Source organism: Homo sapiens, chromosome 1 (assembly GCF_000001405.40).
Source record: "Homo sapiens chromosome 1, GRCh38.p14 Primary Assembly".
Taxonomy (NCBI): domain Eukaryota; kingdom Metazoa; phylum Chordata; class Mammalia; order Primates; family Hominidae; genus Homo; species Homo sapiens.
Genome location: NC_000001.11, coordinates 232004341 through 232023634, shown reverse-complemented (window position 1 = coordinate 232023634; position 19294 = coordinate 232004341). Strand labels below are relative to the sequence as shown.

At 42.0% G+C, this 19294-nt stretch overlaps 1 protein-coding gene and 1 long non-coding RNA gene across 8 annotated transcripts in view; both read right to left on the bottom strand.

Annotated features, from left to right (window-relative positions):
- The window catches only part of TSNAX-DISC1 (TSNAX-DISC1 readthrough (NMD candidate)), a 512620-nt gene that overhangs the window by 17638 nt on the left and 475688 nt on the right, over nt 1–19294 (bottom strand). Inside the window, exon 14 of the long non-coding RNA NR_028393.1 lies at nt 14586–14850. This is a non-coding gene — a long non-coding RNA (TSNAX-DISC1 readthrough (NMD candidate)). The remainder of the gene's footprint in view (nt 1–14585; nt 14851–19294) is intronic.
- DISC1 (DISC1 scaffold protein) overlaps nt 1–19294 on the bottom strand; it is a 414483-nt gene that overhangs the window by 17638 nt on the left and 377551 nt on the right. For 3 of the 7 annotated variants that reach the window (NM_001164537.2, NM_018662.3, NM_001164540.2), the window contains one exon: nt 14586–14850. In NM_001164537.2, the coding sequence (NP_001158009.1) occupies nt 14586–14850 (265 nt within the window). Of the gene's footprint in view, nt 1–13980; nt 14851–19294 lie in introns of those variants that run through there. The other 4 variants (NM_001164538.2, NM_001164541.2, NM_001164547.2 and 1 more) reach the window with 2 other exon arrangements.

The window sequence follows — 19294 nt, the reverse complement described above, 5'->3', positions numbered from 1 at the left end:
CCCCAAACATATAATTCCTGCCTGTTTTCCTTTTTAAATTACGTGCAGATTGATAGTAATGGCATAAATTTTGGAAAGCAATTTCAGACCACATAACAAGCGCTTTAAATTGTTCATATCTTAAGACCCAATAATTTCCTTTCCTGGAATCTATCAAAAAGAAATAATTTGTTCATTTAAATTGAAATAACTTTTATTAAGCCCTTGTAATAAGCATGGAAGAATGCCTATCACATATATCAAATAGAAATAAAAGATTTTTCATGCAAAGATGATGGCATTAAAAGTATAGGAAAGAGGAAATAATTGTCAAACAATAAAGGGAATAGTTAAATAAGTTCTGGTACAGCAGATTTGTATTTAGCCATTAAAGTCATTTTTAATAAAAGAGCATTTAATGATGATGAAATAACTCAAATAGGCAAAGCATCAAAATATTTATAATTATTATTTGTGGGGCAGTATTATGGGAAATTTTTATTTTCTTCTTTATACTTTCCTGAACCTTTAACATCCCTAAAATTTGGAAAAAAAGTTATCAAAAACCCTAATTCAAACCATAATGAAAAAGGAAGAAAATTTACCTGAAATTTTTTTTAGTTTTTTTAGAGATTAAAAAACAAACAATGTAGCATAAGGGAACAAATTCAGAGAGCTCAAGTCACCATGTTTGCTAAGAGAAGATCTGTCTGGCATTCTTTCGTGGGGCTGTTTTTCCAAGGCACAAGTTACAGGATCTCTCTCAGGCTTGTGCAGGAACCTCTACTTGTTGGTCTGACAGCTTCTGATTCTGAACTGAGAGGATACTGAATGTGAACTGGGTAGATATGACTTAAGAGATGTATTATTTTACTATAATGCTCTCACTTGGAATCTTGAGAATAGAATTAGTTTAGACCTAAACTGAGAATTGACAGCTGATGAGAGGGTAGATTAATATATTTCTATCAATCTGGTAAAAAATTCTGTTCTGTCCAAAGAAATCTGTCTGTCCAGAGAGAGCAGGGTGGGATCAGAACCATGGGTATTGGCTGGGTGCGGTGGCTCACGCCTGTAATCCCAGCACTTTGGGAGGCCGAGGCAGGTGGATCACAAGGTCAAGAGATCGAGACCATCCTGGCCAACATGGTAAAACCCTGTCTCTGCTAATAATACAAAAATTAGCTGGGTGTGGTGGTGCAGGCCTGTAGTCCCGGCTACTCAGGAGGCTGAGGCAGGAGAATTGCTTGACCCCAGGAGGCGGAGGTTGCAGTAAGCCAAGATCGCACCACTGCACTCCGGCCTGGCAACAGAGGAGACTCCATCTCAAAAAAAAAAAAAAAAGAACCATGGGTATCAGCTGTGCAAAGTTGCCCAGGTCCTGCCTCTTAGTCCATAAATGAGGGACTAGGCAAAACTTCCTTGGCCATTTCCATGCCATGCCCAGGTATGGCAGAGTGTAGGTGTGGTCATAGCAACACACTTTTCTGGAATATTGCCTCTCCACCATCAAAAAACAGAGTTTATTACTTCTCCTGTTAAACCTGGATGGCCCTTGAAATTCCTTCAATGTATGGAACATAGTGAAGGTGACACTGCCTGACTTGCAAAGTCAGGTCATAAAAGGTGACATGTCTTTTCAGATCACCCACCCTGGAACCCAGTCTCCATGTTGTGAGGAAGCCCCAGCTACATGGACGGGCTGTTTGTAGATGTCTGGATGAGAGCCTCAGCTAAAGCCCTAGTCAACAGCCAGACTTGGGAAGGACTGAACCTTCAGATGGTCCCAGCCCCTGTCTTCAAGTCATTCAGCTAACACCCAGACATTGTGGAGCAGAGACACCCTCCTCACTGTGCCCCACCCCAATTTCTGATCTACAGATCCACGAATATCATAAATAGTTCTTTTAAATCACTAAGTTTGTGTTGATTTTGATGCAGCCATAGTAGGTAAAACAGGGGCCTTACATGGGTTGTCCCTACACAGAACCTCGCATGAGTGGATAAAACTATTGCAAAATGCTAGCAGGTAGTGCATCTTCACTGGTACCTAGTTAGGGAGTTGACTGACTAGATTTTTGAAGCTCACTAAAGTGCTAATGCCCAGACTTCTCTCAGGGAGGGGAACTCCTACCCATGCAGGGCACTATGGCCATTAGGCTGGGAAGTGCAACAAAGACATTACAACAAGTGACCACTGCCACTGGTCAGTAATCCCAGATCCCTGGCTCCTAGTTCAATGTGTAAGTTATTGAACAGTACAGGCACATATTCTGAGGGTTGTGTGTGTGTGTGTGTGTGTGTGTGTGTGTGTGTGTGTGTATAGAACAAGTACAGTAAAAATTTCCTAGAAAATTCCGCAGGAAGACATACCACAGTGAGTCCAACATATCTGAGTGCAATACGACCCACAGGGCCTCACTTTCTTCCACCTTTGGGAGAAGTGGCTCTTTCTTCAGGGGACACTTAGCAGAGCAAGGTGCTCAAATCATGAGAGGCAGGTAAGAAATATACAGATTCCTGTCTCCCGGACCCTCACACTGGCCTTGGGGCACACCCATTGCCTAGACTGAAGGACAACATTGCTGTCTATTTAAATGATCATGTCCTCCTGGTATGTGATGTTTATATGTTACGGTCACACAGGATGGCATAGTCTCTGCAGGAAGCATCAGGTGTATTTCACTACTTCTAGTTTTTCCCTTGCTTGGAAAGCACCTTGCTGGAGGATGTTCTCTCAAACCAGTGGGCTTTAGGCCTTATTCTGCAGAGATCCCCTGGTAGGAGGAAAAGGGTTTTTACTGTCAACTCTACCTCAATTTCTAATTTTATCTGTTTTATTTGCTAAGCCTTCATAGAAAGCTACATAAATAAATAAGTAAATAAAGGGAGCTGTTGAAGAGAGTTTGTTTGCTTCTTTTAAAATAAAAGAAACTTTTTTTTTCAAAGAAGGTGTCTCAGTGAAAGCTTTGGAAGCACTGACATTTCTGTTTAAGCCAAAATAGTGAGTTGTAAGCCAGGTGTATTAATCAGGAGGCTCTGCCTTGGGTTATAACTGCAAGAGAAATGGAGCTTCCTTATCTTAACACCATCTTGTTTCCCAGGACAGCAAATGCATTTACAAAGATCTGCCTCCTTCAGGGCTACTAAGAATGTCGGAAACCTTCCCTGAGAATCTTAATACCTAGAAGCAGAGAATGCTGCTGGATTTGGTAGGGGTCTTAGGAACCATCCTCAAGGTTCAATTCCTTCTTTTACATACAAGAAAAGAGGCTTGAAGAATCCTTTTATTTTTTATTTATTTATTTATTTTTTGAGACAGTTTCACTCTTGTTGCCCAGGCTGGAGTGCAATGGCGTGATCTCGGCTCACTGCGACCTCTGCCTCCTGGGTTCAAGTGATTCTCCTGCCTCAGCCTCCCGAGTAGCTGGGATTACAGGCATGCACCACCATGCCAGGCTAATTTTTGTATTTTTAGTAGAGGCAGGGTTTCTCCATGTTGGTCAGGCTGGTCTCGAACTCCCGATCTCAGGTGATCTGCCTGCCTTGGCCCCCCAAAGTGCTGGGATTACAGGTGTGAGCCACCGCACCTGGCCAAAGAGTCATGTAACTTGGGCAAAGTGGTGATGGAAAGAAATCAGAGAAGCAAACAGCCAGCACCTGTAGACATGGTGTTCTCTTCCCTTCTACTCTCAGAACTCTGCAAAGTCTCAATTCCTGGAGGGTTCAGTCTTATTAAAGGGATATGCTCCCTCCAGGACTCAGAGGCATAATGAGTGGAGGTGACAATGATAACAGCCATGACAATCTGGAATGCAATGATGGGCACAGGACCTCTCATCCACAAGTCCATAAAATATCAGGCTGGAAGCAGAGAAAAGCAAGCGGGCACATGGGAAAGGCGGCGAGAATGTCTCCTTTCCAAATAAGAACATGAGTATCCAGTCCCATCTCTCCCATCACCTCAGCGGATTCCAAATAAACATATTCTGAACCATGTCCACAATTTCACACACTGAGTGTCTCTCTGTGTGCAATTTGTAACTTTTGCTCCCATTTGTACTTTAAATCAAATGTGACAAAAAAGAGAAAGCCTGCAAGACTGATACTTGATAATTAAAAATACCACCCACTACAAAGCCACTGGGATTCCTAGCAGAAATGGAGTTCTGTAGGATTTGCAATTCTGAACGGATCATTTAAAGTACAGGTTGCTCGGCATTTCAAAGTGTCTTTGAAGACTCTCCAGTAATTTGTCTTGTCAGGCGGTCCTTTCAGCAATTCAAATTATTATTTTTTTCCTTTCTGAACATCCGTCCCATCATTTAACCCTAGGAATAATTGTTTTCCCTGTGGGTCAGAATGAAAAGCAGTTATAACAGGTAAATGGTCTGATTGCTACACCTAACACCCCCTCTTTTCAAAACTCTGCAGATTCCACTTCTTCCAGGAACGCTTCAATCCCGAATCTCCAACCCTGCCTACTTCTGGGTAGGAGGAGTTCCTCCCTGTGTGTGTAACCGCCTGTCTCCCTCACCAGATGATGAGGTCCTGGCCCTGCCTCCGTCGTCCTACCTTGCTCATAAAAGGTGCTCAGTAATGCTTATTGAAGTAATGAATGGAGACTCCTGTATCTTATGAGAACTTGGAAGAAGCTATGCTGTTTTTCAGACTACACTTCCAAGAGATCATTTCACCCAAGTATAAAGAGCCAGGAAGGAAAACCAACAAGAAGAACCTTTCTGGATGCTGAGCACATGCCTTTGCCTCAGTGCAGCCAAGAACAGCCTTATCTGGGATAATTTTCTTGCCACAGGGACAGCCATGGGGTCCTGGGGCTCTCCACAGTACTGCTGTACACACATGGCTTTTATTGGCCTCCAATAAAGCCCTACCATCTTCCCTGCTGTCCCTCCACACGGGTATGATTCAGTAGCACCGACTCAGCCAGGCAATATTTCAAATATAATTTGCTTAACTCACCTCATGATCAAAACCCGTAGGCCTGAATGTTTGGGCAGAAATTTTCAGCTGTGTTGAATTAGAGCTGATGTCAAATTTCTGTCCTGCTCACCCAACTCAGGGAGCATGATTTAAAAACAGAAAATAGGATTTCCTTTGTTGGGCAGGATTTTCCCATTAAAGTGACTTTCAAAAAACATTTTTCTATAAAAGTGTATACCCAGAAAAGCATTCAGTTGCTAGCCTGAGCAGATGTCTAAACCACATGCCCCAGTAGAAGAACAGTCACAAATTCCATGACCAGGGTCTCCAAGGACATTTTTACTCAGTTATAGTTCCCATAAACAAGGCTTAAGTCTTTCCCTATGACATGTGGAAGATACCAACATTTAAAATTTTAGAACTGGAGCTTATATTCAAAGGGTAGGGAATATATTATGAAATAATAATGGTTGTTTTGATAAGAGAAAGTATCTGGTAACAATATCTCATCAGGCTGTATCTAGAGTGATGAGGAAATCATATTTATTATTTCTATTCTGAATAGAAAATACCTTTGGAAAAGGAAACTGTTTAAGTTAAATTGCTAGGTAGGCAGGTACTACTGTGGCTGCCAATTCTACTTAGGAAAAGCTTCCACACCTAACAGAGCATACATTTGCAGAAATGTTATCATCAATGGAGATTTGCCACAAATTTGAGCAGACGGGTTACACCTTGGGTTGAGTCACTGGATCAAGATGATTTAAATAGTCTATTTCTTAAAATGCTGTCAAGAGTTATTCTAAAGGGAGGGGCTATGTGAAGTCTGTAAGAGTGTGAAGAAATAGAATAAGAAAAATCTCCAAACTGAAGTAACAAGTACTGCTAGGATTCTAAGATTAATCTGAGAAAACAGGCAGTTACCCTTTAGGTCTCTCTTTCAGACATTGTGCTGGGGGCTGTGCAGAGAAGTCATCAGTTACTTCCACCCTTGCTAGGGATCAGTGGTGCAGGGGAGGGGTTAGTACCTGTAGCTCTAGCATGAACCTCCACCTTGGATACGGTACTCTTTGCCGTGACTCAACTGCTTACCCAGATCCTTATTTCCTTCGGCTGTGTAATAAGGCATCAGCAATACCTATCCACAAAAGTACATTTGCCTATCCACAAAAATATTTAATTCCTGCAGTGAAAGTCACAGGCTACACAGTAAAAAAAAAAAAAAAAAAAAGGACAGGTGTTCCCTTATGGCCATCAAGCCAACTGTTTACATATTTTACATATTTTGGGGCTATAGCAGTATTTAAGTTTTTTAAAAAAATTTAAAACATAAAATTGAACACAGCACACATACATGCTTACAAGCCAAAAACGCTACTTGAGCCTCATAATGGTTGTTACATTGTCAAGTCTCACTCCTTCTCCTCTGGCTTGAGGTAAACCAGATGTGATTACCCCCATCCATGAGCTTAGCTGATGCATCAAACTATTTCCTTAGTTTAGTATTAAAATCACTGCCTTAAATATGTTCCTTTGGGCTGTTTTCCAAAATACATGCTTGGTAAATACATTTCAGGAATGCGATATGGTTTTGTCTTTCTTTTTAAAATATTATCTACAAAAAGAATATTTACTTCAAACAAATGCCTGCCCACAACACAAAGAATATATTTCACATGTATTTGACATAGATTTTATGGTGTTTGTCTTTTCATATAAATGCCGAGTTCTACAGTCGTGTAAATGCCAATAAGCAGAGAGGCAAAATTGAGACATTAAGGGTATATCTTTATTACTCTATCTGATACGAGTATTCATCCACATATTCAAATTATACGGTTACTCCCTGAGTAACTGCGTATTTCTTTTAAAAGCATCCAGATGTCGTCAGTGGTAAAGAAAGCATCTGAAATATTTAGATCTCTTTAGGTCAGAGCAAGCAATGAATTGTCTTCAAGTATCTGCATGCTTGTTTTGAAGGTGGCTCGGAGAAACAAGCTCTAAATAAAAGTAATTAACAGAACCAAACAAATTGTTAGAAGAAGAAATTGCTTGCTAATTGGCATATGTTAATTGGCCTGTGGTTTCTAGTTTACTTGAAGGGCAACCTTTGAAAAGCTACAGTTTATATTACACGATCATGCAAGAGGATGTGAACTGCTTTTCTTTAAGCACACTGAGTTTGATAGTCAAATCTGAATAAAACCAGACTTCATTAGAACCCTCTGAGAAAATAATCCATTTGAATCCAAAATGAGATTCATGGCACCGGCTAGTACCTAGATACAGTCCCTTTAATAAAAGGATTCAGATTCTGGGGATAGGGACATCCAACCCTAAGGCCCTTTTGTATAAGAAAATAAAAATGAAAAGTGGTTTGAGGGATTCCTTTTAAGGGAATGTGTTCTTTGAGCTAAGAAATATTGAACTGTAAAGGGAAACTATGAAGACAGAATCAAATCCCAAACTCCATCCATGTTCACTTTATAGTAAAACAAATTTGAACTCTAAGTGTTTCACTGTAAACTGTGCAACTATTAAGACTACCATAGTTACTGTTTTTAAATGTCAGCGTTTAATCCTGGTTCTGGATGTCACCCCTTCCAAGTGAGAGCTTGCTTCCCACCCTAAAGTCTCAGGCACCCCTGTAGTTTGCTGGAAAGAGATAGAGATGCTATGGTTGGTGGTATCTACTCTTTCCCTCAAAAGGCACTCAGACAAAGAAGAGCAAAGGACCACTCTTCTTTTCTCTCACTATTACCCAAGCTTGTTGGCCTGAGGTTCCTAATCATATGAGCAAAATAAGATCTGCTCTGCCATAATCAATGGTTCCAGGAAATACCTGGGGGCCGGGTGGAGGAGGGGGTGTGGAATGACCAATGGCTGGCAAAGCAGAAACACCAGCATATTCAGAATGGAAGGCATTAAACGATTCACTGAAAAAGGCAGTGCAGTAAGTCTTGGGTAGAGGTAAGATAATTTCACACAGGAGCTTCATGGAACTCCAGTGTTCATCTCCTGCCTGCTCCTAGTTAGGAAGGGCAGGAATAGCTCACGACCAGCTTATGGGGGGACCGGAAGCTCCTGGGGAGTGGAAGCTCTTGACTTTAACTGCCCTGGCTGCCCAGTGGTGGGGAAATCAAATGCACTGTAGCTGTGATGAGGGGGCAGGGTGCTATCTGATTTTCCACATTACAAAAATTCTCAGCTACTCCCAGGACACCACTGAGGATTCATTGGATAACACCTCCTCTGTTACAAACGCAGAAAATGAGTCCTTGCCATTCAGGCAGACGCCATCCTGCTATCGATCCCTCAGACTGCACCAGTGAATGACAAGGAATTTCCAAGGTGAACGGCGTCACCAAGAGCCCTGAGGTTGTTTTCCTCAGAAGCGCTGAACTATTTTTAATTAGTGGAAAAAGGGCCACCGTGAGGCCCTGGAGCATGGAGCAAGGTTCCACCATATTCCGAAAGAAGGAGAAGCCAGCAGATCAGAGGAGTCCCCTTCCTTCCCTTGGGCAGGTGAAGGAGGCTGACAAGCTGATGACAGTAATTAACTGAGAGAACAAGCAGGAGCCAGCTCACTGAACAGAAGAAACACCTCTCTTAGCCACCTGCCAGCTTGTCCCTGGACTCTGCTTTCTCTCTCAAATTCAGTGGCCAGGGCCAGGCCAGGGGCAGGGTCCTGGTAAGCCTGCGCAGTTCTGTTTCTATTGGTCAAGTTGCATTTGTTTCTTCACTTCTGTAGGCCAGTTATATTTAAATATCCTAATTATACAATCTAAATAAATACTATGTAGAGCGATGAAATATTAATGTGAAAACAAGTGCTTGTTTCCATAAAAAGCAAGCTGGAAACCTTGGAAAGATTCAATAACATTTAAGAGAGAGGGGGAGGCTGAGAATTGTTTTGCAAGTGCTCTTAACGTTTCCAGCCCACTTTAAAGACACCAAAAGTGGAAACTGTTAATGATGCATGATAGGTGAGGTTTACACAACGAGGGTCATGTGAAAAGCCAATCAGCAGGCTCTACAAACAGAAATACTTGGTCCTATATCGAATGAATAGCAAATGAGAGGGCATGTTTTCAGCTAGAAACAAAAAGGTTTAAAATACGCATGCATCATCTTTTATGACTCTCTGTCTTTTCTGACTTTTTAATTAACCAACCAATTACCAACCCTGGTTGCATCCTGGTTGCTTCTACTGCTCTGCTCTTGGGAAAGATGGCTGGGTTTGCAAAACTTCAAAATGTAGTGGAGATAGAAGTTTTCTTCATGTCCTAGCTCTTTGCTTTCTCCCCAAAGACATTAAACAAAAAGAGCAAAACCAGCTGATGGGTAAGTGAACATTTTTCCCTTGTCAGTTCTTTTCAAAAGTGGGAGAGATATCAAGAGATCACACATTTAGGGATGTGCTCCTTGGAGAGTCAAAGTGAGTTTCCAGCTGTCCCAGGGCCAGTAAGTGTCAGAGAAGAGAAAGAATCAGATCTGCACCCATTATGGCTGAAGAGGAAGCACTTTTGCCCAATAAAGACATTTCTAGATATAGAAATCAGTTTAAGACAAGGAGGACAAACATCTTCATTGTGGATCACCTTTTCCAGCTTTTTTTATGTGAAATTGAGTAAAAAGGAATGGAGATATTTATGTTGTGGCTCACAGTATGATACCCCTAAGTGTGACACTTTGGTATGCCTGAGTACTTTGAACCAAAGGAGATTGGAAGGCCTCAGAAGCAAGATCTCTCTGCCTTCTCTTGCCCTCCCCTCTCACACTCCTTTTTCTCCCTGGATGCAAGCCATAGAAACCAGAATTCCTCTTCCTCAAAGCCAGTCTTAGAAACTAGGACTCCTCTCCCTCAAAGCAAACATAAAACCTAGAAAGGTCACTCTCTTCCTTCTCCCTTGAAGGCCCTCCATTTAGAGGAGTCCGGCCCCATACCCAAGAGGAATAAATACTATGCAGAGCGTCCAAGAAGAATCTGAACAGACAGGGCTTGCTGGTCCGCTCACCCCCCAGTCTATAACCATTAGATCATACCCATTTTGTCCAATCACATTCCTTCATAGCTGACTATTCTGCATTAAATCTGAGCATAAAAATAGTTTTTCCTGGGTCTTTGGGTCTTCATTTCTGAAGCCTCCTGTGCCATGTAAAACTCTGATTAAATAAATGTGTTATGTTTTTCTCGTTAACTTGTTTTTGTTATAGGAGTGTTAGCCCTTAATGATGGCTGAGGAAAGGTATCACACCTTTCCACCCGTAAACTTAAAATGCTTTTTGAAGACCTCAATCTGAACAAATGAGGCTACCTGGTTGCGTTGTGTCTTATTGCTAATTCCGTTCACTGCAGCTGTGTTCACACACTGGCTACTCACATACTGCACGCAATGACTCAACATTGCCAGGTCCTCTTTTGGCCTCTTTGGTGAGAGCTACTGGCTCAGAAAGGAAGCAGCTGGGATGAGAAGTCTGGGAGAGTGGTACTGTCCAGGGAGCCCATTATGTAGAAAAAGCAATGGAAACAGAAAGCACCCCGCAGGCTAGGTTGCAGACAGGAAAGAAAAAAATTACGCAGGTATTATGGCCAGAACAGCCCGTACAAAAGAGCCACTTCACAGCGGAGGAAGCCTGGCTCACTGATTTCCCTGGCTCCTGTCTGGCCCCCATTCAATTTCTGTAACATCTACGAACCAGGGCCAACAGCAGCTGATAGTTTCCAGAGTCCTCAGAAAGGCTTGGAGGAGAGCTGTCATGAAACTGGAAAAGAAAAGGGCTCTTACAATTCGAGGAAGTTCATGCTAAGATTGGCACTGAGCCCTGTTGCTGACTTCCTCTGTAACAAAGTCCAAAGCAAATTGCTTCACCTTAATGGGCCCAGCTGTAAAATGGGGGAATGGTGCTCAGCAGCCTGGCAAGGACCGTAGACCCAGGAAGGTGTCGATCAACGACAAAGCCCTTGTGATAACAAAGTATCACCAGAATGCACATCACCACGTTGGCCAGATAAGCACGGGAAAGGCTTTGAAAACTCATCTTCCTGTGGACCTCTATAAGAAGTCAGTAATTTTTCATGGAAGATTTGGGTCAAAAAGAAATTGACTGCCTTCAGGGCATCAAGCTTCAGTAGAGAAACCAGTATAGGATGGTCAGACCCAGCACGGAGTTCTAAAGCAAAACCAACCCAGAGCTGCAAAGCGAATAGACATTTTAGCCACAGGATAAATGCAAAGTACCCAGACTTCAATGGCTCCCGGAAAACACAGGCAGGAAAACAAAAGCACCTTCCTAATGAGGCCCTTGTTATCATTTCCCCATACCTTCTGTAGTCTAAAATCCTGGACCCGAATACAAACGGGAGTTTTCCTTCGTTAAACCTTTCTCTGACTGGGTATCTTCCACTAACTCATTGCTCATGTCTACTTCTTGACAAAAAGTGAGTATATTATACATGTAAAGGAAAATGTAACAATCTCAAGCACCCCCAAACTCCTTATGCAAAAGGGAAAGTTAAGCCTGGAGACTGAGTCATACAAACAAATAGCTGTTGCTAGCATTATGCATGCAAAAAGCATTTTAGAGATGCTTGTGACTGCCAGAAAGAGTGATAGAAACAAAAGTTAACACAAATTAGCCTCTACTAGGTATGCGTCTCTCACTTCGTGATGCATCCTTTTATTTAAATCTTCATCACAGCTTCATGAGATAGTTTTCATTATCCTCTTATGTCGTGGTGGTGTTTTTCTTAACAGATGTGGAGATGCGGCCTGTAAGAGGCCTAACTGAGGATCACGGCAGACTCAGACTCAAGCCTTGTGCTCTTTCCAGCAGGCCACACTGCGTTTTGATAGCCCTGAGACAAAAGCACTGACTCAAACATCTATAGCCCGGTTTTTAAATAGGTAGACATTTAAAAAAACTTTTTAAAATAATTGTTATAAAGTCATACACAGTAAAATTCACTCTTTCTGATGTAAAATTATGGATTTAGACATACACACAGTCACGTAACTACCACCACAATCAAGAGAGAGAATACTTCTATCAACCGCCCCCAACTTCCACGCACCAAATTCCTTCCTGTTGCTCTTGTAATGAGTCCCTTCCCCTTTCCTGGCAACAATTTATCTGTTTTCTGGCCCCATAATTTTGCCGTTCTCAGAAAACATTGTCTTAAAATCCATGGCACTCATGAATTCAGAGAACGGCTGCCCTCTCTGTGAAAATAAATCCAGCACTGCGATACAGGAACAGGGAAATGATACTGAAAGCCAGCAAAAGCTGTAAGGTCCCCTCTAAAGCACCCACTCACCCCCAAGAAAGCAACAAATAAATGTAGGACATCCTCAGCATTTCAATTGGTGGAGAGGATCTGGGAGGCTTTCTGGGGGACCCCTGGAGCACCCAAACAGCAGCCACCACAGGACCTAGGATAAGGCTCCACTCTTTTTTCATCCTTGACCCCAAGCTTCCTATTTTTCAACAAATATAGCTCTGTGTTCTTATAGCCAGATAGTGAAATTGACAGGTGCTTATAATGCTATGCAGGAAAACGAATCCTCCTATGCCTGGGAAAGTCTGTCCCCAGAGAACCTGGAGGGCTCAGGGCTCAGTGGGCAGGGCAGAGAAGGAGGGAGAAAGGGAGGGAGAGAGTGATGGGGTTCAGAATACACTACCCCAAAATATGGCACCTTGGCATTTGAGGAACAGCAGAAGCAGGAAAGTCTCTCTGACCTTCTGCAGCCATTCTTTCCTGAAGCAGGCCATAAATAATTATCTGACCTTCCTCTAAAGTAGATTATAACACCCTCATCTTTAAAGTGTACAACCTATACCCAAAGGAAAGGAGTATCCTTATCTCTGAAGACACAGGGATGCAGCGAAGAATCCGAGCAAACAGGCCTTGCTAAGCTCCCCCCAGTTTATTGCCATTAAATCATACTCCTTTTGTCCAATTATACTTCTCCACATCTGTCTGCTATTCTTCAAACTTAAGCATAAAAATACACTGGTTTCTGTTGCTTTGGGTCTTCATTTTTGCAGGCTCCTGTGTCATGTAAATTTTATATTAAGCACATTTGTACATTTTTCTCTTGTTACTCTGTCTGTATAGGTGCCTCAGCTGAGAACCTTTAGATGGGTAAAGGAAAGATATTCATTTTTCTCCGCTACAGGAGAAAGGGATCTCTGCTGAATCAGTCCTGGCCTCCAGCAGAATCAATGACCCAGGGACTCCATCACATACCTGGCATGGCTTCTGACTGCCCCACACCGAGCTCCTCCTGGTAGCTCACTTTGGAAAGCCAGACACACCTTCAAAGACTCATTCCCAGAGCCTGCAGTTTCTTCCACCCAGGAATAAACCCTTGCTTAGGTGGCACTTCCCTCCACCCCAGAATATTCTTTCAAGCCATCCACTTGCAGCAGGTGGTAACTTTTCAACACCTCTACCCAGAGCATTGGAGACCAGGCTTTGCTGGAGGATTCCACCTGTAGCACCTGGGTTAACAAACGAGTTCAGATGTCTATAAATTAACGTAGAGCCTGTGACTGGGCCAGCAAGGATGCAGAGTGACAGTGGTTGCTTTCTTATAAGACCATGGAATCCAAATATAGGATCAAGGATCGATTTTCTAAGCAGTCCAGAGGCAGTGACTAAGAACACAAATGTCTGCTCTCTGAAGGCCATGGTCCTGCAGATGGGATGTGAGACTGGCAGGGCTGGCCTGGGGAGGTGGCAATTTCCCCACCCACCAGTGGTGAGTCCTGGCAAAGACCCAGGGAGGAAGCACAGCTAACATCTAACATCAACCATGAGACTTGAAAGCCATGTGTCAAGTTCCTCCAGCCTCTCCATGCTATTTCCTTTCCACACTCACAACACCTGTGAACCTGGGCCAACAAAGAGCTCTGAAGACTCAGGTCATGGCACTGAAATCAGGAAAAACTTCCTAGGGCCTTTTTATGGAAAAGACTCTTGTTAGGGTGGGAGGAGGAAAGTGAGGAGTGGAAGGGGAAGGGAGAGAGGAAAGAGGGGAGAGAAAAAGAAAGTTAAATAAAACCATATTTTAATTTGTAATACATATATCTCAGGCCAAACTTTAGTTGTGTTTATGAAAGAAGAACATTATAAACATTCATTATGATCTGGTTTTGGTAAAAACAATTAATGGGATAAATACATATATTTGAATGTTTCATTCAAATAAATAATAATATATTGTAATATATAGATTCTAAATATATAAACATCATATATGACATACAATACATAATGTATAGTATATATGTTAAATATCATGTATGGCATATATAATCTATAGTGAATATAATAACTATATTATATATGACATATATAATGTATGCTATATATGGTAATTCTATATTAGACTGCATATTCTAATTCTAGCCACTAAATTAGAATGAAAATGGAACTAAATATGCCAAAAGTTGGGTTTTTTTGCTCTTCTATATTTCAAACTTCTACAAAAATTCTACTTTATTTTGTAATCATATTCAAGAGTTATTGAAACTTTTAAAAGTTTATATGCTCAATGGGAAGCCTTCCCAATATTTATTGTTCCCATTTGGAGCATGGTCCCAAAGCACCCCTTAGAATAAGGGTCCCCTCTGGAGGCCATGTGAAAAGGACAGACCTCTTTCTGTTCACCTCCAGCACAGTGCAGAGAGGGGATGAGGTGAGTCTTCCATTCTTCCAATACCTTCAAAGGGGTCTTCCTTTTATCCTCGGAGTGGAGCCTGGGGGGAATAGGAGGAGCAGCTCCCTCTAAGTCATCCATCTGCCTCTCATCTTCTACAGACAGGCTTCCCCTGGCTTCCTGGAGCTGTAGGCTCTGGATAAGCAATCGACAAGCTTCCAAGTCAGCTTCCCACACTTTCCCAAGCAGTGGACACTTGCAGCTGAGACAGAGAGGAAACAAAGGCATAAAAATGAACTCAGTGATGTTTCATCATACCAAGTCGATAGCTTGTCTACCTGGCTAAAAGTCAGCTGGTCATCTTATACTTGATGACTTAATTTCACAGTGATAAATTATTTCAACTAGAAGATTCATCAGAGGGACCAAATTTGCACACCATCAAGTCACCATGAAATGTGCTGGTCCTTAGCTGCTTGGTCTGCAAAGGCATCCAAAATCCTATGTATTTTTCCAGACTCAGCAGCCCAATACAACACAGTTTCTGCTCATATATGTGTTACCAGCCCTACTGACTTGCTTTGAATCCTCAGACCTGTCCAACTCTTCCAGGCTAGATCAACTCTCTCTGTCCATTCTCCATCAACACACATATAACCAGGCCTTCATCTGACTAAATCATATTATCTTCAGAACTCGGCTTAAATAACCTTTTTGGGAGAAACATTCCCTGCCTTCCAACTGGAAAATATGATGGATCTCTTAGCATTTTTTACTTTTATTTCAGAGTATTTATGACAATTCTAATTATTTATGTGATTATTGTTTTCTTTTCCCTGAGGGCAGAGCTTGTAACTATGTTGTTCTCCACTCTATTGCTAGACTCTATTGTATTAGTCTGTTTTCATTCTGCTAAAAAGAACTGCCCAAGACTCGTTAATTTACAAAGGAAAGAGGTTTAATTGACTCACAGTTCAGTGTGGCTGGGGAGGCCTCAAGAAACTGACAATCATGGCAGAAGGTGAAGGGGAAGCAAGGCACCTTCTTCACATGGTGGCAGGAAGGAGAAGTGCAGAACGCAGGGGGAAAGAGCCCTTTATAAAGCCACCAGATCTCATGAGAACTCACTATCCTGGGAACAGCACTGGGGAAACTGCCCCCATGATTCAATTACCTACACCTGGTCTCTCCCTTAACATTTGGGGATTATGGGGATTACAATTCAAGATGAAATTTGGGTGGGGACACAAAGCCTAACCATATCATTTCACCCCAGCCCCTCTCAAATCTCAAGTCCCTTTCAAATTTCAAAACCAATCATGCTTTTCCAACAGTACCCCAAAGTTTTAATCCATTCCAGCATTAGCCCAAAATTCCAAGTCCAAAATCTAATCTGAGACAAAGTAAGTCTCTTCCACCTAGGAGCCTGTAAAATCAAAAGCAAGTTAGTTACTTCCAAGATACATTAGGGGTACAGGCATTGGATAAATGCTCCATCCCAAATGGGAGAAACTGGCCAAAACAAAGGGGCTACAGGCCCCACGCAACTCCAAATTCCAGCTGGGCAGTCAAATCTTAAAGATCTGAAATGATCTCCTTTGACTCCATGTCTCAGAACCAGGTCATGCTGATGCAAGAGATGGGTTCCTATGGTCTTGGACAGCTCCACCCCTATGGCTTTGCAGGGTACAGTCCCCCTCCTGGCTGCTTTCACGGGCTAGCACTGAGTGTCTGCAGCTTTTCCAGGTGCATGGTGCAAGCTATCAGTGGATCTACCATTCTGGGGTCTGAAGGTTGGTGGCCCTCTTCTCACAGCTCCACTAGGCAGTGCCCCAGTGGGGACTCAGTGTGGGGGCTCTGACCCCACATTTCCCTTCCACACTGCTCTAGCAGAGGTTCTCCATGAGTGCTCCACCCCTGCAGCAAACTTCTGCCTGGAAATCCAGGCGTTTCCATACATCCTCTGAAATCTAGGCAGAGGTTCCCAAACCTCAATTCTTGACTTCTGTGCACTCACAGGTCCAACACCACATGTAAGCCTCCAAGGCTTGGGGCTTGGACCCTCTGAAGCAACAGGCTGAGCTGTACGTTGGCCCCTTTTAGCCATGTGTGGGACAGAGGGCACCAAGTCCTGAGACTGCACAAAGCTGCAAGGCCCTGGGCACAGCCTACAAAACCATATTTTCCTCCTAGGTCTCCAGGCCTGTAATGGGAGGGGCTGCCATGAAGACCTCTGACATGCCCTAGAGACATTTTCTCCATTGTCTTGGGGATTAACATTTGGTTGCTTGTTACTTATGCAAATTTCTGCAGCCAGCTTGAATTTCTCCTCAGAAAATGGAATTTTCTTTTCTACTGTATCATCAGGCTGTGAATTTTCTAAAATTTTATGCCCTGCTTCCCTTTTAAACATAAGTTCCAATTACACATCATCTCTTCATGAATGCATAAAAATGCACTGCTTTAAGAGCACCCAAGTCTCGTCTTGAATGCTTTGCTGCTTAGACATTTCTTCCACTAGATACCCTAAATCACCTCTCTCAAGTTCAAAGTTCCCGAGATCTCTAGGGCTGGGGCAAAATGCTGCCCATCTCTTTGCTAAAACATAACAAGAGTCCCCTTTGCTCCAGTTCCCAACAAGTTCCTCATCTCCATCTGATACCACCTCAGCCTGGACTTCATTATCCATATCACTATCAGCATTTTGGTCAAAGCCATTCAACAAGTCTCTAGGAAGTTACAAACTTTCCCACATCTTCCTGTCTTCTTCTGAGCCCTCCAAACAGTTCCAACCTCTGCCTGTTACCCGGTTCCAAGTCTCTTTCACATTTTTGGGTCTTTATGGCATCTTCAACATGGATCATGAACTCAAATATATAGCATGCCCAGCACGCAATGTAAATGTGTGGAGCAGGGAAGGGATGATATAAACCATGACAACTAATATTCAGCCTCAGTGGTAGAAGATAATAGAAAGGAGTGACTGTGGCTAGTTGGGAGTACATATCCCTGTATATGGAGCACATCAACAACTCATCAGCTCAGGCACACTGAAACTATGAGGAATGTAAATTCAATGTTGACAAAATTTTGACTTTTTTTTGGAAAACCAAAATCAGGAATTTTCAATGAAAATATATATTTTCTCCCATCCAGACAGCTTCATGCTAGATATTTTCTACAGACCTATCTTCCATTTAATAACCCTTCCTTCTACTGTCTCGAATCTGCTGTTCAATCCACTATTGTGTTCTAAGTTTCAGATACTTTTAATTTGATTTTCTTTTATATATTCCAGTTCTCTGTCAAAATTCTCCATCATGTTCCCTATTTTTTTGGACATATTAATTAACATTCTCTCAAAGCCCATGTCCATAAATGATGAGATCGGAAGGATAAAGAAGGAATTAGGCAGAAGTAATATTAGAAGAGATTATCAGCTAAGAATATCATGTATTGACAAAGAACATCAAACCACACATTTAGGAAACACTACAACTCAAAATAGGAAAAGATCAAAGAAAACACATACCTAGGCCCATCATAATGAAACTTCTAAAATCAAAGACAGAACAAAACTCTTAAAAGCAGTGAGAGAAAAGAAAGGCACATTAACTTCAAAGGAACAAAAATATGGATGACAGAAGTGGTGAAAGCTAGGAGACAATAAAACATCTTTAAAATGCTGAAAGAAATTAACTGGCAATCTAGAACTATGCAATTATTTGAATTTTCTTCAAAAATAAAAGTAAAATAGGCTAGGCATGGTGGCTCATAATGTGAGAGGCATAATGGGACTTCTTGTGTACAAGAAGTATTTTATTTCTTGATGGTGAGGATTCCATGAGTGAAAAATCATCAAGCAGTACATTCATGATGTATGTATTTTATGTCTATGCCAATATAAAATAACAAAAAGAGAAAGAAAATATAATAAGAAAAGGAGGAAAGGAGGAAGGGAGGAGGGAGGGAGGGAGGGAGAGAGGGAAGGAAGGAAGGAAGGATGGAGGGAGGGAGTGAGGGAGGGAGAGAGGGAAGGAAGGAAGGAAAGAAGAGAAGAAGGATGGAAGGAAGGGAAGAAGGAAGGAAGGAAGGAAGGAAAGGAAGAAGGATGGAAGGAAGGGAAGAAGGAAGGAAGGAAAGAAGGAAGGAAGGAAGGAAGGGAGGGAGGGAGGGAGGCAGGGAGGGAGGGAGGGAGAGATGGAGCGAGGGAGGGAGGGAATAGATTTTCTGAGCGATGCACTGGAGCAGGAGTGCAGGAATGGGGTCTGGTCCATACTAGAAACAACAGTCCTCAGTTGGGGGCACTTTGGTATTTTTCATTTTCCTAATTTTAGCCAATCTAATAGGTAAAAGGTGGGATCTCGTTTGAAGTTGTATTTCTCCACTATTCTGTGAATTATCTTTTCATATTCATTGCCTATTTGCTTCTTTCTCGGGTTCCCTATCATTTTCCCAAGGGTTTTGTTGAAGGAGACATTTTATTACCACTTCAGTATCTTTAACTTTTACATTCTATTCAAGTTTTCCATTTATTCTTCTGCCATTTTAATATTTTATATCCTTTATATAAATTAATCCTTTTTTAATGAATTTCAAATGTATTGTTACATGTTTGTTCATATTTTTAAAAAGTATTTAAAAAATTACTTGTTCGTAGATCTCCTTTTCAGTATGTGTTTTACTTATTCTTTTTCTGATTTATC